The sequence below is a fragment of the Homo sapiens genome, chromosome 14 (genome assembly GCF_000001405.40).
Source record: "Homo sapiens chromosome 14, GRCh38.p14 Primary Assembly".
Taxonomy (NCBI): domain Eukaryota; kingdom Metazoa; phylum Chordata; class Mammalia; order Primates; family Hominidae; genus Homo; species Homo sapiens.
In genome coordinates this window covers 46,839,294-46,863,904 of record NC_000014.9, presented here as the reverse complement: position 1 = coordinate 46,863,904, position 24,611 = coordinate 46,839,294, and the positions used below count along the sequence as shown (strand labels likewise).

Here is a 24,611-nt window from a genome sequence, read left to right as displayed (position 1 = left end):
GTATAATAAAACTCTTTTTACAGGTACTTGTTATAGACCTGCTAGTAAAACTATATGTAATCTTTAATACATTTATCTTTTTAGAATCCAGGTTTGAACCACTAACTACTTCTAAACTCATTTTTTTTCTATTCTTCATTGATGATGGTCCCTTAGACAATGTATGTAATAAAATCTAGTGTGTTTAAGCAAAATTAATGATATGAACTGAGTAAGGCTGAGAACACAGTAGCTGAGAAAGGCTGCTACTTCAAACCATATAAGTCTAATTTTCAGTATAATTAATAGACAATATTATTTCATCAATTGAATTGATGGTAAGCAATTGAGTTAACTGCTTCTGTTTCTCATCCAGTGTACCAAACTTTAAAACTAATTTCATTGACATTAAGGATTTATTACAATGGGTATTTTTTACCCTTAGGTTTGAATTCACTCATTTCTGTTCAATAGGATGAATTGCACAGGCTGTGTGCCTAATCCTAGTGTTTAGAATTCTATAGAGAATAAATGACAAATATGATAAAAGTTTTTTATTCATCAAATAGTTCATCATCTTTTTGAGGTAATAAATTTCTGAATAAAATAAAAGTCAGAAAGTAATATGTATCAAAATGTAGGACAAGCCCATGGCGTGGGTGAACAAGGGAGAGAAGACTGAGGGGTACATTAAAATAAAAGTGTCTATGGAAGAGAAGAAATATAAAGCATCCTACAAAAGAGGGAATTATATAGGAGGTGGAGAACAAAGGCCAAAGAATATGAGAAATGGACAAAGCCAATGTATGACAATGGAGAATACTGTGCTTATGGAAGAGTAGAGAAAGTGATAGAACTAAAGAGGGAAAAGGTCAGCGTAAGGGATCTGACTTACATCAGAGAAATAGAAAGGAAAGCTATAATTTAAAAACATTTTGGACTCTAATGTACAAATTCACCTGTGCACCAGAAGGAATGGTAATAACTGTAGAAAATAAACTGGCATTTTTCATTTAGGATAGCACTGCAATTATATGTTGAAAAAATATCAATGGACATGGGCAGCTGTTTTTATTCAAGCAGAAAATAATGATTTTATAATTTCTCACTTTGTATGTATGTATAAAACAAATGATGCTAGCAATTACCTATCAATATACATAGATCTTGCCTAGAGCTGGATGATTTTGGCACATCCTCATTTTACATGAAATGTGAAACTCAGTAAGTCTGTGTTACTGATTATAACAATGCGATTTGTATGCAAGTGATCTCCAGACCTCAGAATATACCAAATTGCAAATTAATTCATGTAAATGTGGCAATTTCAAGACTCTATGGGGAATATGTATGCACATTTTAGGACATATACTTAAATTATTTATCTAAAATATATAATACATATTTATAGTACAATAATTAAAAGTAAAATTATGTTAAGAACTTAAGAGAACTAGGTTAACAGTAGTGATAAATATTATTTATGCAAATTATAGTTTATATTATAATATATATTAAATAATATTAAAATAATAATCAGGCTATTGCATAATGCCATGAATAACCTCAAAGTTTTGGCCATTATTCGTGAGATAAGACAGCACTTGTGTCATTTAGCCTTTTTGCCTGTAGTCTTTAAACATAAGAGCTGACTAAAGTCCTCTAAGCTCTAGCACCTGATTTTTGGAGAGTGGTGACCAAAAGATGAGAATTAAGAAACTAAGGAAAAGAAAAAGTTTGAGTTTTGCTTAGCTTCTGCAAACTTATATTCTAGAACTATAGAATTTGAAAAATCCTATAAAATTGAAAATCCTTGGAGATGATTAAATTTATATGTTTTGGTATCTGATGTCTACTAAAGCATGAACACAGTGTCTCTGGGGATTTAAACTTACTTTTAAGGAGTATTAACACAATCCATCATATTCACTTCAGAGTTTTTTTTACTATAATACTATAATGTGCTGAATCAGCTTTGCTGAATCTAACTTCTCTTGAATAGCTTTATTCTATTTCACAAGTTCTAATTTTGTTGACCAAGATGACTTGACATAAGTTTAAATATCTTTTGGCACTGATTTCTCTTTTATAAACTTAAGAACTAGAAACTTCCTGGGAGAAAAGTTCCAAAATCATTTGTTGATTAACACTGCTTTTCTCATCACCTCTAAAATATATCAGTAATAAGTAGTTTGCATTCACTGACTGGGATAATCATATAATTATTACTATATATGTAAAACATTGAAATTATATTTGAAAGATTTATTTCAATCAGTTGTAGTTCTTGTGTCTTTTTCTTATCAAACAAGTAAAATTTACCTTTTTAAATAACATCTAGCCACAATTGAATACACCTTGTTTAGCCTATTCTCAAACCTAATAAGACCTCTGGGATAATTTACACCTGGCTTCTTTAAACCTAGGCAAAATATTTTTTTACATATTATGTATTCAACAAACATAAATAGAAATAACTCAAGTTTGAATTTATATTACATATGTAAAAAGAAAATGTTAAGAAATATAAACATAATTACAGGCAAACAGAATTCCCTTAGTGAGAAACAATATTCAGTACTGGCACGATACCCTATAATTACTGATATAAGAAAGATAAGTCACACATATTAATATGTTTTACTAAATCATGTATTTATTAAAACGCATGAATTCTGAAGGACATATAGTATGCACTATTTTGTTAGCAAACTATAATAGGTCTTAAAAATATTCTTTTAATGTTTTTTAAAAAGTGCATTTCTTGATTGGATGTATTTCCTGTCAATTAAATCAAAATAAAAGGTCATGCAACCCAAGAGAAATAAAACTCTATATGAAAGGGTATAAGAGAAGCCTCAAAAATTGTCTGGTGAAAAATGCCAAAGGATTACTTCTTATTATTCAAGAATGAATAAAGAGGAAGAAAATGGAGAGAGGAAAAACATGAGGTTCTAATGAAGATTCCATAGAATAAAAACTGGCTCACATGGCACATAGTAGAAGAAACATATACTGGTGAAAAAGACTTACTGAATTACTTCAAGTGAAAGTAAAATGTGTACAGCATATGCTTTATATATTTAACAAAGCATATAAGAATATGAACTTTACGAAAGAATATAAGAGAACAGTGGACCAAGAAAAAGATGGAACTGGATAAAGTCTAGATATAAAGGAGAATTCTGTGAGGTCACAAAAGAGTGATACACTTTAAATAGTATAATAGCAGAATAAAGATGACATTGGAAACAAAACAACAGAAAAAAACAATATGGTTTGGAAATTAAAGTCAGTTCTGTGGAAGACAAGTTTGAGATTCTTTCTTACCCTGAAGAGGAAAAATGATAGAAGGTAATTTTGAAGCAAAAAGTGAAAATGCAACACTGAAAGATAAAATCAAAAAAGAAAACTGGAGAACCATAAGGACAAATATCCATGAATTATTCCAAAATAAAATACTAGCAAATTGATTCAGCCTTATAAAAAAAAGTCAGTGGTCTATTATAAAGTACATTTTATTTCTGTAATATACGATTAGTTCAACATTATGGAATGCATTAATATAACCTAACACATCAATAGAGGAATAGAGAAACCTTAGTTGAATATTTTATATAATAATAAATGTGCTGATTATATGAGAAATAATATATGGTTTACATACTTTAATTCTCACTAAAAACTTATGCTAGTTATCATCATTTAGTTACCATTTGCCTGATGAAGAAGTTGAGGGAATGAGAGATTTAGAGATGAAGCCAGAGTCATCCAGCTGTGATATAAAGAATGCAGTTTTTGCTTAAAAAGTGGATACCCATATTTATATACTTCTATTATATGCATACATGTGGTCTTATGTGTAAATAATTAAAGAAAATTTCTTTAAAAAGTTGAAGGATAAGCTACTCTATATCATATAACGATACATAAGCAGGTAAATATTTTTTAAAGGCTAAAGCAACATACACCAAAATGTTAAGAAGGCTACCCTCTGAGTGATTTAATGATAATGTTATATTGTCTTTTCTGTTCATTAGAATTTATGTAGCATATTCATATAAATAAGTTTATATACTACATTATATGTAAAGTTTATATGTATATTGTGAAGCGTATATATTAACATATTACTAATTTATATCATTATCTGTAATCAAAATGAGATCATCTAAAGGCCAAGGAGTAGTAAATGATATCAGATAAGTCCTGTTGCCCTAAACAAGCATAAAAATGGGCAAAATATATTAGAAACCATTTTTTAGAGAATAGACCAAAAAACAGGGTAGGACTGCAATGGATGAGAAAAGAGAAACTAATGGAGTGATCTCCATGACAGTCAAGTTCTCTGCCTGAGGAAAATTTCCTGACCTTGCCACAGATCCCAGAAATTCAAGCAGAATGTGAAGATCCCAGTCAGTCAGAAAACAAAGATTAGTGTACTGTACAATTGATGTCATTGGAATCTGTGGGTCAGGGTAACAGAAAGAAAAAAGATATGCAGGGTTGAATCCAAAAGTCTGTATGGGGTTCCCTCATGACTATTTGCTGAAGGCTAGACTGTACATGTAGAAAACTAGAAAAACCAAGACTTATAATACAGCAACCTTTGTGAGATTGACAGCACAACAAAGGTGGGGAGAGCAAGGAGACCTGAGAGGAGAGCAGCATGGAATATTGAAGTCTCAGCCATGAAACTTCATGAGAGTGTAGAGATCTCATAAAACCCCTGGCAGCACAATGAAACCAGAAAGGCTAGAATCATACTTGGGAGAAAGGCCTTCTCTAGACATTCTCCAAAACAGCCTAAACTAAATGCAAGCCCCAGTAAGATTCATAGGTAAGACAGATTTAGAGATTGAGTCCCATAAAGTTAGAGAATTTAGGGCAACAATTTTGGCTTTTCACAGATCTGCATTAGTAGTGGAAAACCAAGCCTATACAAGTTCAGCATGGTCAATTTATAACTGAACATTTTGCTATAACAGGAGCCAATAGCCTTCTGAGAAAGATTACAGCTGAAGAGTCTCTATAATGTTCTATCTACAATGCCCATTACTCACTGAAAGTAACTAGATATCCAAATAAATAGAATATATGATTCATAGCCATAAAAAGTTAACATCAGTTCGTAGAAACCAAACTTAAGAAAGTTAGACTTTGGACTTAGCAGATAGAGGCTTTAAAGAAGGTATTATAGGCCGGGCACGGTGGCTCACGCCTGTAATCCCAGCACTTTGAGAGGCCAAGGCTGGTGGATCACGAGGTCGGGAGATCGAGACCATTCTGGCTAACACGGTGAAACCCCATCTCTACTAAAAATACAAAAAATTAGCCGGGTGTGGTAACAGGCGCCTGTAGTCCCAGCTACTCGGGAGGCTGAGGCAGGAGAATGGCGTGAACCCGGGAGGCGGAGCTTTCAGTGAGCCGAGATCGCGCCACTGCACTTCAGCCTGGGAGACAGAGCGAGACTCCGTCTCAAAAAAAAAAAAAAAAAGAAAAAAAGAAAAAGAAAAAGAAAAGAAAAAAAGTATTATAAATGTGTTCCGTGAAATAACAGAATGTGCTGAAAGAATCAAAGGAAATAAAATGCGTGAATGGATAAAGAAGTTCAGCAGAGAAAGAGAAACTATACTAAAGGGCTAGGACTAAATAAGAATTATACTACAAAGTACAATAAACAAAAAAATTTACTGGGTGGGCTTAACAGAAGACTGGAGATGACAGAAAAAAAAAAGTCAGTGAACTTGAAGACAAAGAAAATTTTCCAATTTGAGAAAATAGGGGAAAATATTGAAGAAAAATAAACAGAGCCATAATGACCTATACAAGAATATCAAGTTACATTATATATAAGTACTTTTATATATATGTACTTTAATATACATATATATTTAAGGATTTATATATAAGTTAATTGTGCAAAAGAGAGGAAAGAGACATGTGGCAGAAAATATTGTTAGAAATAATGGGACCAGGCGTGGTAACTCAAGTCTGTAATCCCAAAAACTTTGGGAAGCCAAGGCAGGAGGATTGCTTGAACTCAGTTGGAGATCTACCTGAGTAAGATGGAGAGACCCCATTCATAAAAAAAGATAAATAAATTAGCTAGGCATGTTGGGGTGCCCCTGTAGTACTAGCTACTTTGGAAGCTGAGGTGGGAAGATCCCTTGAGCCCAGGAGTTTGAGGCTGCTGTGAGGTGCCATGGCACCACTGCACACCAGTCTGGGTGACAGAGCAAGACCCCATCTCTTAAAAAAAGAATAAGATAAAATAAAACAAATTTTAAAAAGAATTAATGGAAAAGACTTAGAAGAAACTCAGCATAACCCTGAGCAAGATGAATCTAAAGAAAACCGTATTTACATTCATCACAATCAACTACTGCAAACCAAAGGGAAATTCTCTAAAGCAGCCTGAAAGAGAAAGAAAAGCATACTATATACAAGACAAACAAAAATAAATGATGGTTTACTTCACATTAGAAATAGCATGCAGAAGATAATGGAACACCTTTAATACGTGGAAAAAAAACCCGCCTGAATTCTAAACCTCACAAGAAATATGAGAGAAATGAGAATATTTTTACTTAAAGGAATCAGAGAAATATTGTCCCTAGAAGCTCACCACTGCAAAAAATGCTAAGGGATGCCCTTTGGGCCATGGGTGCCAGATTGTAACTCATATCTACAGGTAGAAATGTAAACCACCAGAAATGGAAATAAGTGGAAATTGAAACGCCATATTTCCTTTCTTCTTATAATTTATAGAAAATATATTCATATCTGGCTCTTAAAAAATAGTACCGGAAGGTAAGGTTTACAATGTAAACAAAAGTAAAAGATATATTTGAGTAAAGAAATGGGGCAGATAAATGAATTATAATGTTGTGTAAGGTTGTTACATTTGTGGAGTGAGATATAGAAAGTGAAGTGAATAGGATAAGGTAATAGTGGAACATCTGAAGGGAGTTTGAATTATGACTTGTAGATATGAAGAAGTAAAATATTGACTCTAATTAGACTCTGAGAAGTTATATCTTAACTCTAAAATAATCACTAACGCATAGTAAAAGGAGATAAAGTTAAGTCAGTAGAGTAAATAAATTGAAATCTTAAATTTTTATTTTTTTATAAATCCTGAAAAAAATCAGTTCCTGATAAAAAGGAATGGAAGGAGAGAGGGAGAAGGAAAAACAGAAGAAAGAAATGCAAACCAACAGGATGGTATATTTAAGTATAAACACATCAATAGCTACATTAAACATAAGTAAACTAAACATTGAATTTAAAATGACTAAGAAAACAATAACATAAATATCATCAATATTACGCTTAGGGAAACTCACCAAACACACAAAAATTATATAATGCCTAATTCCATTAATATGACACTCTATAAAAGAAATCATTGATTAGTGATAGAAGCCTGATTACTAGTTATCTAGCAAAGGGAGGGTGGCTGGGAAGATAAACTACAGAGGAAAGTGAGAAAATTGTTTGAGGAAATGGAAATGTTCTGTATCTTGAACATTGATACAATCAAGATGCATTGATTTTATCTTGATCAAGTACTAACATTATAGTAGACATTAGTCTAAAACTATTGGCCTGAACACATAGAAATGAATGAATTTTATTGCATGTAAATTTTGCCTCAATACAGTTGATTTTTAAAATTATCTAGTAAAATATTGATTGCCTAGTGATTAAGATGTAAGACTCTGAAACTCCCTGAGTTCAAATCCTGCTTGTGCTATTTTCTTACTGTATGACATAGAGCAAATTGTTTAACCCCTCTAAGTTTTCTCATCTATAATGTGGGGATAATAATAATAAGTACTTCATAGGATTGTTGAGAGGATTAATTCCTCATCTGGAGTAAGTGTTTGATATATATTTATTGTATTAATATCATTATCATCATTAATATCATTACTGTGTACAGCACATTAAACTATTGAAAGAGAGATATCAAATAATGAGATAAAAGCTATCTTCATTTTATTTTCCAATAACTCTTTTAGAAGAAAAATGAGACAGGTAAAAATCAAACTGAAAAAATAAGATGCTAAATGATAATATAAGACGACAGAATTAGAGTCCAACTCTGAGCAAGTTATTCAGTACATGATTACATGCTATGTTAATTTCCTCTTGCTACTGTAACAAATAACAAATGATCACCAACTTCATGATCTAAAACAACACAAATTTATTAGCTTATCATTCTGGAGAACAGAAATTTAAAAAAAGCATTCTGGGCCTAAAATCAAGATGTCAGCAGGGCTGACTTCTTCTGAAGCTCCAGGAAAGAAGCCCTTTCCTTTGCCTTTACTAGCTTCAAGAAGCTGCCAGTAGTCCTTGTAGCCCCTTCCTCCATCTTGGAAACCAGCCATGTAACATCTCTATCTCTCATGGCCTTCTTTCCTGTATCAAATCTCCCTCTGCCTCTGTTTTATAAAGCTATATGTAATTGCATTTAGGACTCACCCTAATAATCTAGAATAATCTCCCCATTGCAAAATCCTTAAATCCCTTTTGCAATATCAGGCAACATGCACATGTTCTAGGGAATTAGGAGATGGTTACTTTTGGATCAAATGTCAAATGTCATAAGAGCAAGATAGGAAATGAGAGGAGAAGAGAGGACAAGACACTAGAGTGTTCTGTAAAATTTCAGTTTAAAAAGTTTACAAGTGTTTGGTCAAGGAAAAACAAATTTGAGGTGAAAATGAATATGCAAAATAAAATTTTATTGTCATTTTTAGGTGTCTTAAATGTTTATCTACGTTTGAAAGGGCAAACAACAATAGAGAATCCACTGTGGTCTTCAAGTGGGAATAAAGGACAAAGATGGAATGAGGCTCATGTTAATATATACCCAATTACTTCATTTCAGGTAAGAAAAGTAGTTTTGGCTAATTAATTGCTGTAAATGAGCATAATATTAAAGGTGGATCTTGAGCAAATATTAAAATATGAATATTCAGAAATTCCACGATATAAGCATCACAAAAATTATATGATTAGGTTTTGCTTTAGTTCTAAAAGCTGTTTTATAAAGATAAATGCGCTTTTCCTTTATTCATTAATACTCATCAAGTAATTGGTTTGAATAATACTTTATCAAAATTTAAATGATTTTCCTGGAAAAAATGTAATCCATTTCTATAAAATCACATGCTTATATTTTACTCCCTGAAAAAAAAATTATTATAAGTTTCTATAATAATGGAACTTGGTAATCAATTCTCAATCTGTTTGAATTTTTCTTGATTAAATTTTATATACTTACAACAAAAAGTTCCTTCTGATTTAATGCCATATCAGTAATTGATCAGTGATTATTAAAATTAAGATGACTTTAAATAAGTTATTTTTCTTTGTTTCTATATAGAAAAGAAGTAAAGCTTAGAGAGTTAGCTAAGAGAGTTACCAGTAAAGATATAGAAATTGTAAAGACTGCCACACTGGCCATGATAGCTAGAGACAACAGATCATTAAGCTATTTCAGTGGAGTTAATATACTGTTTAATGATTTTAATGTGTATAAACATATATACATATATAAATATATACATATCCAAATATTTTTATATTTTAAAAATATGGTAAAATATCTTCAAAGTCTATGACATATATCTTATACAGCTCTATGCTTTATTTCAAAAGAATTCAAATCTATTTCATGACATTATATTTATAGCATTGAATCTACTAGTGATTTTTTTTATGCATTTCATGGCATATGTTGTAAGGGTATAGAAAATCGTGCCAGTTTTTAATTGGTGGAATGACCTTTTCTTGTAATCTAATCTATAAATTCTAATTGCTTTGGAGATTGCACTTCTAAATCAAACCAGGATGATAAAAATACATAGTCATTCACAATGATAAACAATCAGAGAGTAAGACTGGCTAATTATCTACAGATATATAAAAGATTTATTCCCATATGATTCTGAAAAATAATCATTTTGTTTCTATGAAGATCAATACAATTGTGAAAATGAATGACAACATATCATCAAACTAAATTAAACTGGGAAGACAGGATTCCAAAGTATTACTGATAGAAGTAACCTTAATATTAAGATGTATATACTGATATTGTCATTAAAAAGCAATTTTTTTCTAAAAAGTTGATATTATTATAGATATACTTTCACTTTCCACATGACTGCCTCTCCAACACAAAATTCCAGCAAAGTTCACAATAAACAAAAATACCAAGGTCATAATATACCACACATTTTTTGAAAGATTTCCACTGATTATAGCATCCTTGTTGTTTTTTTTTTAGAACTTTTCAGATATTGTACCATACTCTTCTTGTTTGCATTGTTTCCAGGAATAAATCTGTGGATAGCCTTAAATTTATTCTTCTGTATGTAATGTGACTTTTTCTCTGTTTGCTTTTAAGATTTTCCTTATCATTCGTATTTATAAACTGTATTGTGATGTGCTTTGATATATTTTTCTTCCTTCTATATGTGCTTTGTGTTCACTGAATTTCTTGGATCTGTGGATTTATAGTTTTCATAAAATTTGAGGTTTTTCTCCTCTTCTCCTTCGAAGATTTCAATCACACATACATAAAATTGCTTGAAAGTGTCACACAACTCATTAAGGCATTTTCATTTTTTTCTATTTATGTTTAATTTGTGATAGTTTTTATTATGTCTTCACATTCAACAATAGTTTCTTCTGCAATGTCTAATTTACTTTTAATTTTATTCAGTGTATTTTTCATCTAAGTCATTGGATTTTTCATCTCTGTAAGTTCAATTTGAATCTTTTAAAAAATATTTGTATGTCTTTAGTTAATATTTTGAATATATGAAATCCAGTTATAATAACCATTTTAAATCATTATTTGCTATTGCTAATATCTGTATAAGTTCTTGGTTGGCTTCAGTTGATTGATTTTTCTTCTCATAATGGATCACTGTTTTCGTTATTTTTTTTACAAGTCTGGTAATTTGATTGGGTACCAGATATTGTGACTGTTACCTTGATAGGTGCTGCATATTTTTGTATTCTTATAAGTATTCTTGAGCTTTTTCAGGGAAGATAGTTGAGTTACTTCAGAAGAGTTTGATTATTTTAGGTGTTGCTTTTAAGATTTCTTAGGCGAGACTAGAGTAATGTTTGGTATAGGGCTAATTATTTTTCATGATGGAGGCAAGACTACTCTGAGTCGTCTACCAAATGTCCCATGTATTATGAGGTTTTTCCATGTGGTGGATGGGAACAGTCACCATTCCCAGTCCTGTGAATGCTGGGCACTATTAACTCAAATTCACCCCTCTGTTTCTTTCCCAAGTATTGGGTAGATTGCTCATTTCATGTCCTGATCAGTACTCTGCTGAATACTCAAGGAGGACTCTCTGCAGTGCTCTATTTCTCTCTCTCTTTCTTTTTCTCTGCCACTGTTTTTCTCTGGTATTCTGCCCTGAACATTCCAGCTTCCCTTGTTTTTTTGAACTCTCATCTCCTCAACTCAGATTTTCTACCAGGTTTCACCTTCTTTTCCTCTACTTGCACCATGGCCTAAAACTTTGTATTGGTCAAGAGAATTCACCTTATTTGACTCCCATTTCCCAGGGATCACACTTCTTCATTATCTGATATCTAGTATCCTGAACACTGTGGTTGGCCCAGTTATTTGGTAATTTAAAGTAGAAATATAGCCTTGTTCCTGTTACTCTATTTTTCATGGAAACAAATGGAACAATCTGTATTTGTAAATAGTTTGAATTGATGCATTTTTAAGCTATTTAAATTACCAGTGGAAAATAAAGATAGATAAAATCATCTTTTCATTTTGATCGACGCTCTTTCATTTCCCAACATATTTCTAGGTCTATTGGCTAAGGACTTTATTTCATTAATCTTGATTGTTCAAGGAAACGTGAAACACAACTAAACAATCCCATGCCACTTTTGTTGTTTTTGTCTCGTTTCATTTTAGAGAAATTTGTTTTGAATTGTTTTATAAAAAGTTTTTTTTTTTACCCAAAAATCTTTTATAACTTGTCAAACTTCTCAAAAATACTTTATTTGGTATGTAACGTCTTCTAGGAACTCCTGATAACAACAATGATACCAATATATTACTATATAAATTAAGGTTTGAGAGGTTTTAATATTACTCAAATGTAACTTTCTGGTATTTGAGGATGTATTTACTTCAAGTGGACGGCACAACTTTTACCTCTTGAAATTTTACACAGAATATAAGTGACTTTGAGTCTCTTTCACTAGCATTTACACTGTTTTATTTGTTTTGAGTTGCATGACTTTAAATTAATTTGATCCATAAATCCTTTATAAAATTACTTGGACAGTCCTTTGTTTGAGTGTGTCCAATTAGTTTGCTTAGCTGAAAATACAATTATTGCTTAGTACTTTTCAAGACAAGTAGAAGTTTTATTCTATTGAAATTTATGTTGGGTTCATTTACTAGAATTAACTTAGCATGATCAGTGCTTGGGATGAAAACAGATTTTGCTACATTGGGAAAAATTAGGGCAACAATTCCAAAGAAGCAAAATGGATATATTCTTATAATGTCAATGAATTTTACATCATATACCAGGGAAAATATTTAACCATCCCCTTTTAATGCTTTACTTCTTTCATAGTATATTTCAAATGTTTTCCAGGGGTAAAGTGTACAACTAGATTGTGAGACACAAGATGCTCTTTACGTTTTCTTAGTTTAAGAGAAAGGGATTCTGGAAACCTCCTGCTCTTACATATTCATTTAAAGACTTAGAAACAGGTTTTGAGAAATTTTTGAGAAAATTAAGATACAAATGCTTAACACTGTAACAGGGACTGGAAAAGAGACTATACTGCTCTCCTTACATCATGCTGCCTTATGTTCCAACTAAGAATAATAATAAGCTAGAAAATATTGTCCTCATTAGTAGACATTACATGCTCATGTAGCATATCTGGCATTCTAAGCCACATTCCAGGGCAATTATATGGACACAATGGTGGCTCCTGACTTAACCATTGAAAACATTTACCAATTGCAGCTCACAATTTGATGCATTTCTTTGTCTTTCCCAACAGTCGACTCTCATGTTATTATTTAATATTAGAAATGTTGACAACTAATTGACATTTGTCCCACAAGATGAACTGGCAGAGTATTGTTAAGTTAAACTCACTGTTCATATTTGGGTAGTTTCCCCAGGGAAAAAGCCAAGGCTACCCACTATGTCTATTATGCTGTCTCTCTTCAAATTTGTTTTGTAATGGTTGAGGATAGTTCAATTATTTGCTAAACCAGTGATAAAATAAAGATAACATTATTAATGCTAATGGTTATTTTTAAATATATTTATATCCTGAAGTTTTTCAAAGTGACATATACTGTCAATTTTCAAACTGCAGTCTTAGGGTTTTGCATTTGCCTTAGCAGTAATGATTAGAAGTGATTTGCCTTTTGTCAGGAAGAAACTATGTTGTAAATATTTGCAGAAGTCACCATTAACAATGAAGGCAAATCATCAGAAGTGCATTGTATTATTTAATTCCCCCATCTACTTTTACACATTCGTGATTCATGTAGCTCTTCTTTTCTTGCTGAGAAATTACATTTGACACATACTTTTATAGCATCATCTATATCTTTATTTTGACATCTATATTTATATGTTTTAAAGCATTATAATGTATGTAAGAAACTGTCAATTAATGAAACAATTTTGTGAGGTACAATTCTAATACAGAAATCCACATTAATTTTTTAGAATTCCCGTTTGAATTTACTTACCAAAAGTTAATTTTCTGATTAGGCAATATTTTTTGTATGTTAAGGTTGCGAAGTTGCATGAACACACTGTGAAAACATTTCAGTTTTAAACTTGTCATTTCAATTAAGGGAAATAATTTTAAATAATAGTGCTATTGTGCGGGAGGAACAGGTTTTGCATAATTTTATCCCTCTTTTAGGAGACCTAAACTTTCACATTTTCTCCATGGGTACCTAGTTGCTGTTAGTTCCTTCTTCAAGTTAGTTAAACCAAATGCATTTCAGAAGTACTGAAGAGGAAACGAAAATGGTTTTATCTCTGTAATGTAATAGTAGTCAAAATAATGATGGAAATAAATGATGGAAATGATGGAAATAAAAATATGACAATTTAACTCTTTAAACTAGAGAGTCTTAATTCTCGAGATAAATATAATTAAGATTTTTTGTTGTGTAAAGATCACATCTTCTATGGCTAAATACATCATATTTTAATGCACTTATAATTTCTCATCTGTATATTCTAGAAAACGTCAGCAAAGATTTATTTTTACAAATGCTTAAAAGTTTGGCTAAGGCACATTACTTAAATTTAATATCTACACTTTATATTTGTCTAATCTAACTCACACAGAAACCATGTCAAGTAAAACATGCTCTCTCTAGATCTTAGTCTAGGAGTCATTTATGAATCTGTTTGAATCTATAAAATTTAATTAAAGTAATTCAGAAATATAATTGTAGTCAAGAGCTCAGAGCATAAATAAAACAATGCAATAAATATTTATTGGTGAAATTCAACCTGTTAAAAAATAATCTACATCTTTGTAATAGCAAAACTGTGGAAATTAAAAGGAAACAAATAAACATGCTACACAGGACCTTTCTTTTCCTTTCTGTTCAAAAAGGTCCTTGTGGAAGACTGCAGATTTCTCTGGCCTATTAAAATAGATTCTTTATCATCACAAGATTACAAATAAATATTAAAAATACAAATTATGACTGTACTAAGAGTTTTATTGCTAGAAATTATCTTTATCATACCAATAAATAACTAGATTTATTTAAACAAAATGTCTAAAATTCCTGCTATGCTTAAAGAAATTACCTTGCTTTATCAATGACAAAATGTAGTATCAATAATTGTAAGTGTAAATGTAAATAATATATTTGCAAATCAGCCTACTTTTTTTACTGTACCACTTCATTCATTCGGTATCACCAAGGGGTGAAATATTCATATAAGGTAATGTTCTAAGTATAGGAAGCCCTCTGGACACGTGACGCTTTGATTTTTGTTGATTGCTAGTTTTGTTGTTCAGCAAACCACAGACTTACAGTCAACATATTGCCAGTAGGTAGGTAGCACACATATTAAATTACATTAGTCAATCCGCTTCCTGATGTTTACTACAGATGGTTTCCCGACACAGTCTCTCAATCTGACTACAAAAGGGTCTGTCTTTCACAATTTCACTGCTCTGGGACTTTTTTTTTTTTTTTTAGCACAAGCCTAGGTCCAATCTTTTGATTTTGATCAAGCTGCACAGGGAGGCAGGAGGACAGGATGAAAAAGAAAATTAATATAAAAAGGAGGATTGTTTAATCCTTTAAAGGCAGTAGTAGGAGAAGTTTTGAAATGCTTTGAAGTAATGGCAGGATCATTGTAATTAAACTATGGCTTTCCCAGGACAGCAGCTTTGAAAAGTTCAGAAATGACTTTGACGACATGTATGTTTTAGTTTTGATTTTTAAAGAAATCTCACCATTTTATATGACTCCCATCTGGAAGTAACAAGAACTTACTAAGTGAAAGCAATTGTGTACTTTGAATAAGAAAAAGTGTATTTTCTTCAAACTTTTTACCTTTACATAGCTAAGATAGGAAATCCATGTACTGCAATTTTGTTTTGGCTTCAGTGATACAGAACACTGTGGATGTTTTTCAAACATCCTTCCTAATAAAAGGATTTTGACTTCAGCTTTATCTGTGTAAATTTCAAGTGCGAGCAGGTGCAGAGCATTTTAACCCACCTTTATTAGACTCTTCACCACATCTCACTTCCCCACATAAAGCCCATGGGAATGCAAACCCCTTATCTTTGCTATGGCTACATTGTAAACCCTGTATTGCACTCTACAAGCAGTATTTAATATTAACTATTGATTTACTCTAACATTGACTCTCTATCAGGTAAGGGACACATATCAAAGAGGGAAAATATACCCCAAGACTTAAAAACCTACTTTTTGGAAAAAGGAAAATATTTTCTCACAGGTAGTTTGCTCATACGGGCAATTTGTAAAGGCTTTAAAGAACAATGTGCTTTAAATAAGTATGAATAATAATTATTTGAAACGTAGTCACCTCAGCCTTGTTCATAATAGGAGACAATAGTTTTAATGTCTAACGATGACTATAGGGTACTGGTTAAATAAATTACATCCATAATGTGGAATATTCTGCACCTTAAAATGACTTCCCTTTCTTCATATTCAATTCTCTCAAATGTTCATACCGTTCATTTTTTTCTAAATCCTTTCTCATAGACCTTTTAAATAAAGGACTGTTAAAAAGTCTTCTGAGACTTTTTAAAGCCACTTCCCAGTTACCTTTCCAGACACCATCCTATCTCAAATGGAAGTCATCATTTCCAAGCAGCCAAAATAATACTTCATTGTAAATTCTATCTGAGGACTGAGAATTTGCTAAACTGCTAACTTGGTTCTAAATATTTGAACTACAGCTGCCATTTTGTTTTGGCTTCAGTGAAACAGACCATTTTAAATGTCTTTCAAAGAGATGGCTTTGGAGAATCTTTAAGAACATGCTTATCTTAACATAGATAAGCAGGAAACTCCATATTTATCATATCTGTATATCAGTAAGAACTCAAATTTTTCTCTGCTATCAAATCATGAAAATTATTATTTGTTTGATGAACTACATTTAAGTGAAGGACAGGGTCTCAATACAAAAGTTGACAACTGATGCCTCTGGTTACTACCTGGAGATTCCCACTGATAATATTATGAGAGCATATCAAAGAACATTGGATAAATTTCTCAAAAGTAGCCTAAGTTCTCTCAAAATCATCATAATTAAGCTATGGCTTTCCCAGGACAGCAGCTTTGAAAAGTTCAGAGATGACTCTGATTTGCCTTTGAGGAGATGTTTTCAAATAAAAACAAAAACAAAAACTTTGGCATTGATAAAAATAAACATTGTCAGATTTGTTGTGATGACATAAGTCTAGAAATGTTATTAATAAAGCACATTACCAGATTGATGTTAGAAACAGCTCTTTATTAAACTATTCTTTGGAATGACCAAAGCAGATATTTCCTTTTAACATGTAAATATTTTTCTAGAACTGTATACCCACCACTAAATGCATGAATTGCCTTACAGTATCAAAAAGATTAAAGTTTTGCTGAAAGCAAGGAATAATTTGGGAGCCATAAAGAAAATTCTAAAAGAGTCCTGTTTCTGTAAAAATAAAAAATATATAAATTTGCTAATTGTGCTTCTATTGTCATTGTTTTAAGTATTTAATAATAAAGGATTCTGATTGTACTCATTTATTCTTTCAATATTCATGCACTGAGCCTCAGTGACCACCATTGTTATAGACACCATAAATTCAAAGGTATACCGTGAGATATTCAACATAAATAGACTGATACATATCTTCAAGTTTAAAAAAATGGAATATCAGCAGTGAAATCATGGAGGTAAATTATAAAGTCAACATGGGAATATGACGAACCTATTCAATCTATTTGTGAGAAATCAATGTCAGAGATAGAAACACTTTGTTCCGGGCTTCAATATACATATTACTGTTGTAAAGAATTCAGAATTGATTCATTCTTTAAAATATTTCTAGAAAACTAATGTTATGAGTTATGTTCAGATAAAACCAGAAAGAATCTATCTCAGAGAAAGACTTTTCAAATAAAACATTTTTTCTTATCCTTAAAAATTAAAAGAGGATGTGTAGTCATTTTTTTTAATTGTATTATTTAATTAAGTTTAGTTTTGCTTTAAAATCGACACAGAGCTTTTGATGTGAAAAACTAATACAATGCAAGGAAGATTCAATTACTGGTTTTGGGATGAAAGTTTATGTTTTCTGCAAGTTTTAATTTTGAAAGCCATCAAATATAAAAGATGCCAGGATTACTGACAAGTTTATTTTTGTCACCTTGATTTCTCAAGAGAAACTGATCTGCAAATCAAAGCTCCACATTTAGGTTTGTTTCATTCATATTTGTAGCTCATTTTTGAAGGTATCCGAGGTCCTGGAATAGAAGGTGACATTGCTATTGATGATGTATCAATTGCAGAAGGAGAATGTGCAAAACAAGACCTAGCAACTAAGAGTAAGTATCTTTGCTTGAGATTGGTTTGTTGTAACGTTAAAGTAACATTACTATTAAATTAACATTTAATTTAATTAATTTTAAAAACGGAGTTATTTTTAGTTGGTTTATTTAGAAATTTCTTATATGTAATACCCTAAAGTTTGTTCAGTTATTTTTAAAGTATTAAATTCAATTGTAGACATATTTGGCCTAAGATAAAATAGAAGTGAGATTTTGATTTAGATCTACGTAAGGCAAGTACACTTTGATTTTTAATTAAGATTTTAAAACACTTTGATATTATTTGTTTTAGAAGATTTAAAAACTTGTATTAAAATATTTGATGAACCTATATACATAGCACATATTTACAATGTAAATTGTATTAGTCAATCTTCATACTGCTATAAAGAACTGCCCAACACTGGGTAATTTATAAAAGAAAGAGATTTAATTGACTCACAGTTCAGCAAGGCTGGGAGGCCTAAGGAAACTCACAATCATGGCGGAAGGTGAAGGGGAAGCAGAGTACCTTCTTCACAAGGCAGCAAGGAGAATTGCTGAGAGAAGGGGGAAGTGCCCCTTATAAAATCATCAGATCGGCCGGGCGCGGTGGCTCACGCCTGTAATCCCAGCACTTTGGGAGGCCGAGGCGGGTGGATCACAAGGTCAGGAGATCAAGACCATCCTGGCTAAGACGGTGAAACCCCGTCTCTATTTAAAAATACAAAGAAAAAATATTAGCCGGGCGTGTAGTCCCTGTAGTCCCAGCTACTCGGGAGGCCGAGGCAGGAGATTGGCGTGAACGCGGGAGGCGGAGCTTGCAGTGAGCCAAGATCACGCCACTGCACTCCAGCCTGGGCGACAGAGCAAGAGTCTGTCTCAAAAACATAATAATAATAATAATAATAAAAATCATCAGATCTAGTGAAAACTCACTTTCATGAGAAGAGCATAGGGGAAGAGCCCCCATGATTCAGTTACCTCCACCTGGTCTCTCACTTGAAACATGGGGATTATGCGGATTATATTTCAAGATGAGATTTGGTCTCTCCCTTGAAACATGGGGATTATGCAGATTATATTTCAAGATGAGACTTGTGTGAGGACACAAAGCCTTACCATGTCAGCATAGATGCTTTCATTCGTCCAGTTTGTGAATATAGTGAATATATTTCCTGATTTAGCCAATTTTTTTTTTTGAGACGGAGTTTTGCTCTTGTTGCCCAGGCTGGAGTGCAACAGTGCAATCTCTGCTCACTGCAATCTCCGCCTCCCGGGTTCAAGTGATTCTCTTGCCTCAGCCTCCTGAGTAGCTGGGATTACAGACTCGCGGCACCACACCCCGCTAATTTTTTGTATTTTTAGTAGAGACGCGGTTTCACCATGTTGGCCAGGCTGGTCTCGAACTCCCGACCTCAGGTGGTCCACCTGCCTCGGCCTCCCAAACTGCTGGGATTACAGGCGTGAGCCACTGTGCCTGGCCTTTTGCCAGCCATTTTAACAGATTCAGCATTGTAAAGAGCCTAAATACATATATTAAGTAATGAAGTAGACCTCATATTTATGGTCTAATCTCCTATCTGCACCACAAGCTTGTTTAATAATTTGATTTTCACTTTATACCCTTTTTTGAGTATTATGGTTTAATGATATATTTAATTTTATTTTTTTGTCACAGGTCCATTTTATAATAGAAGAGATATAAATAAAACATGATGAATAATGCACAAAGATTTAGAATTATGTATTTAGCTGCTTCTTAAAGTCCTCATCTCCATATTTCACATTCGAAGCTATGAAATCTAAAATCATTCCTGTTAAAAATGACTGCAATTGAAGGATTATCTTAGACTCATCTGGAATCTTTTATTTTGTGGTCATATATAGAGAAAGTAATCAAACTAAATTTACACAAATTACTCATCAATTATTTAGCACATACAAAAGCATGAAAATCTATGTTGTATAAATCTAGAGCAAATCAGAGTCTTTGGTAATTTTCTATATTTAGTGAGAAACTGTACCAGTCTAGATGTTGAAAGTTGAATGTGTACAATTGTCCACTGATTACTCATATGAACTGAATTGACTCAATTCTTAAGTATTGTCAAAAGACAAAAACTAAGATTTTTATATAACAATGAGCCATTTTGCTCATTGTTATATAAAATGAAAATATATTAAAAAGTCATAAACTTAGTATTTCAAGTAACATATTTAGTAAAAATGTATCCTTGTGTCTGTCTAGTTCTGCTTTAGAAAACCAGTAGCTATACTCAAAAGAACAGTTTTTCTAATGCACAGGAAAACATGTATTCTCCTCAAAGGAGAATAGGATTTCTTTTGAATTTCATAGTATGACTGAGTGGCAGTAACATTTTATTAATTGAAGGCAGTTACAACTATATACAGAAATTTTACATTTTCATAATGTAAGCACAAATATTATAAATAAATTCAATAAATTGAATTAAACTTTTCAAAGGAAGAAAGCAAAGGAAATTATTTACTCCCTAGTGCAGAAAGAAAGCATAACTGATAAAACTAGCCACAGTAAATGCCTGTGAAAGCCCATAGGGACTTCATTACTGTACAAGTTCTATTACAATAGAACATTTTTATAATTAGTTTTTTTTTTCTCTTAAACTAGCAAATCCAAGAAATGTGTGGCAGTTTTAAATATGAAAACACCCCCTGTATGTATTGGGTGTATTTATATTTAAACTCTATAAATTAGGGGAAATAAATAATCTTAATTGAACACAAATAATCTATTTGGCATCAGAAAGTTTTCTGTTACATTTGTGTCATTTAATTACCATTTATTAAGTTCATTTTATGACTAGCATTTGATTGATTGATGATTATTAAATGAATATTATATTCTAAGTACAGACCAGCCTGAAGGCTGAAAGCCTCTTCCTGATTCCTCAGGCTGCCAGTTCTTTCCAGGCAATAAATGGAACTATGGTCCACACCATGCAGATATAAGATTGTATGTCTCAATTTTCAAACTCAATTCTCCCCTAGATACAAGCCACTTTGCAACTTTAGCTAGTTTAATGAATTATATCTGTGTTATCCCTCCACAGTAAGGCATGCATTCTAAGAGGCATCAACTGGACACCAGGTTTTAACAGAAATCCCAATTACAGTAGGACTTTCCAGGCCGATTGGTGGAAGGGATTTTTTAGTTTGAATGGACTTCATCATGCCTCTAAAAGTTAAAATAAAGAGAAAATTATTTGTATAATTTATAGATAATGGACCGATCTAAACATGGATCATCTACTAGTTGCAATAGTTAATTTCTGTACACATAACCATCCCTTTCTAGTTTTCATTAAGATAGATTTTCTTTCAGTCTTCAAGCTTATCCACTTCGGGAAGCTTGAAAAAAAATCTACTTTTTGAAGTATTCTGATAATTTTCTCCATGTTCCTGCTTTCCTGTGGCTAGCAGAACTCTTAAGATTGAGCTCAACCACAAACCTATGTGAATATGTTATGAACAAGTTTTCATAGCATATTATATCAATTCAAAATCTGTAAATCTTTTTATCAAGTGCCTTAACCATATATTCATTTTCCTTTTCACTTCCCTTAGCAATGAAGCTGATAAATAAAACAAAATAAAAATAAATATTTTCCAGAAATATTTTCCATATACTTGTTTTATTATTCACCAAGGTTGTGTTAGTAGCTACGTGGAATGCTTATTATTCTTCTTTTTTTGTTTGCATTTATTTTCCTTATCTTTAGATTCCGTTGATGGTGCTGTTGGGATTTTGGTTCATATATGGCTTTTTCCCATTATCGTCCTCATCTCTATCTTAAGTCCTCGAAGGTGACCTTATCCTGGCAGAGGCTATAAAAGATTCACCAGGCACTGGCATGAAGAAAGAGTCTTTGTAAATGGACATTGAACAAACAAACTACCAAAGATTCCTCCACTGACTACTGACTCAAAAATAAAATAATAAAAACAAATTTTTTTAAGCACTGGGGATAAAAAGACATCATGGAAGTATAACTTATTCCAGACTAAACATAAAAGATAATCTTGACCTGAGTAGAGAAGAGACCTTCAGGTGCTTTTGTGGCTAAAAAGATTACAGCGTCATCTGGTTGAACTCTGGAAAAAAAAAAAAAAATGAAAAAAAGAAAAAAAAAAGAGCTATAGAAATCCTTGTCAAAGCACAAAGTCATGGCTGGTTTTGTTTCAAATGAATAGTTTGCTTGTTACCATGGAAACCTAATGGCCTGCCAACAAAAACCTCACTGTAAACAGGGTACGTGAAGAGCTGGCATTTATTTTCCTTACGAGAAGGTTTTCGTAGAGAATTAAATAAATGTAGGCCCTTTTACCTTTGGCTGTTACCCTTCCTTGAAAATAACCCGAACTCAGAATTATTTAAAGCATTCATGTTTCTCCCCACCTTATCCCCATCCCACCTTTATTATTATTATTTTTCTCCCATGGCTAAGCTAGATAACTGTATGCTGTCTCTTTTTGCATGCACTACTATCCAGGATGGTAAACCTGGGCTTACATGTTACACAGGCTTATCGGAGTTTGCTTGCGGCCACTTGAACACCCAAACTACGTCATCTGTTCCAATGAAGAAACCAAACCACCATCTTTTATAAATTGCCATGGAAACCAAGTGCCTTCAATGAAACAAGCCTGAATAATTTTCAACTCAGAAGCTTGCACTGCTAAGAGTGGTTTGTGTAAAACTATTTTATAAACAAACTACAGAGCCTAAATGTGCAAATTACAGGCAAGACAACAAAGCCGCTTCTGAAGAAGAAAGGACCGAAGCTGCTGCGTAAGCCCATGCAGACAAGATATTTGTTGTTTAACCTCCTAGACAGCCATGGCCTTTCGGCTTATTGTCCATTAGAAAATCACTTCCATTGAGACCAGACATGGAGCAACACTTTTTTTCTTCCAGGTTATTAAATGGGTCAACCAGAGCAAAAGGTTATTAAGAATACTTAGTGCAGAAGGTGGTAAAACACAAAAGTGATTTTTTTACTCTAACCTCCATTTGAAATGAAATTGGCCCTAGCTTTAGAGGGAACAAGAAAATGTTTGGGATTGCAGTGCATACTAACTCTACAGTGGAACTGGGCCTGAAAAATCTGGCTTTATTCTAAACTCTGAGGGTAATATGCCTCTGCCCTTTAGTCAGACTCTGTGCAAATTGTGAAATATTATTTTATTATTTTACCAAGATTATAAAAACACTTTTACAAAAAAACAAAAACCTGTAAAAATAATTTTGAGCTACCTGACGACAAATCATATCTTTAACCAGCCAGTTTTCCAATGCATTGTAAATTTCACTTAAACCTGTTGGTTATGAAAATTTGAAGATCATTTTCCTTAAATTATCTCAGCTTTTAACTTCATTTAAAAAGACTTTTGTCTAAGAAGAATATTATTATTATATGTTCTTTCAACACCCCAGGATTAAAAAAACTGATTATGCAAGCAATTGGAATATAAGTATTAAATTATAGCATTTGCAAATATTAATATAAAAGCACAACAAAATGTAGTGGAAAATGACAAAGCTTGTTTTTTAAAACAATTCTGTAGAAATGTTTGTGCAAATTCAGTAATTCAACTTAAAATATAATTTTACAGCTATGTTCAATAAAGCCTCTTTCCAGGTAAGGTATGACAAGCAGTATGTGTGTTTGTTGAGCAATGTTCACTTATCACTAAAATGAAATTAGTTATACAATTTATTGGTTACCATGGGATAAATCTTCAGTGCTCCACATACCTTAATGTCTGCAGAAAGAAATTTTAATAGGAACTCCCTGATGCACTCCCCTATATTGTAATACATGCAGAAAGCAGTTAAACCTTTGAAGGTAAAATATGAAACATATATGAACCTGGAATTTAATGTCTATTTTCAGTCAGTTCAAAAGGGGACCAGTTTGAATATTTAGGTAGTGATGGAATTGATCTGAACCAAGTCCTTTAAATTAAACATAATAAACAAATGAGTTTCATAACTTATTTGAATGAATTAGACATCTTAAAATTTTTTCAGAGTTTCACAGTAACCCATATACTTTATCAGACCAAAGAGATTCAAGTACACAATATCTGGGGCATTTCTTTTACGTTTTACAAAATTTCTCTTCACCTTGACTTCCATTTTGTGGCAACTAGCCCCTTTTCTCCACTATCTCTTATCAGTAGATCACCCTTTTTAATTGATTTTCAGCACTCTCATTCCTGATAATAGCAATGAAAATGTTTTAGATCTAAAAGGAGACTCTTAACTCATTGCCTCTCCCTCCCTTGATCTTTAAGTTGATTTCAGTGAGGCTTTTGCAAAAAAATAAAAAATAAAAAAGACTGTATTCAGAATATTTAAATATACATGTGTCCTTTTCAGGTAAACAATCAAATGTCCTGTTATTCTAAGTAATCCTGCACAAAGAAGTAACTGTAAGAAAAA

The 24,611-nt window shown here is 32.2% G+C and overlaps 1 protein-coding gene across 8 annotated transcripts in view; it reads left to right on the top strand.

The window, feature by feature from the left end:
* Positions 1 to 24,282, top strand: part of MDGA2 (MAM domain containing glycosylphosphatidylinositol anchor 2) — an 835,983-nt gene extending 811,701 nt beyond the window's left edge. For 7 of the 8 annotated variants that reach the window (XM_011536519.3, NM_182830.4, XM_047431048.1 and 4 more), the window contains 3 exons: positions 8,751 to 8,881; positions 18,034 to 18,139; positions 21,886 to 24,282. In XM_011536519.3, the coding sequence (XP_011534821.1) occupies positions 8,751 to 8,881; positions 18,034 to 18,139; positions 21,886 to 21,974 (326 nt within the window). In that variant the 3' untranslated portion in view covers positions 21,975 to 24,282. The remainder of the gene's footprint in view (positions 1 to 8,750; positions 8,882 to 18,033; positions 18,140 to 21,885) is intronic. The other variant, NM_001113498.3, reaches the window with a different exon arrangement.
* The last annotated feature ends 329 nt before the right edge of the window (positions 24,283 to 24,611 follow it).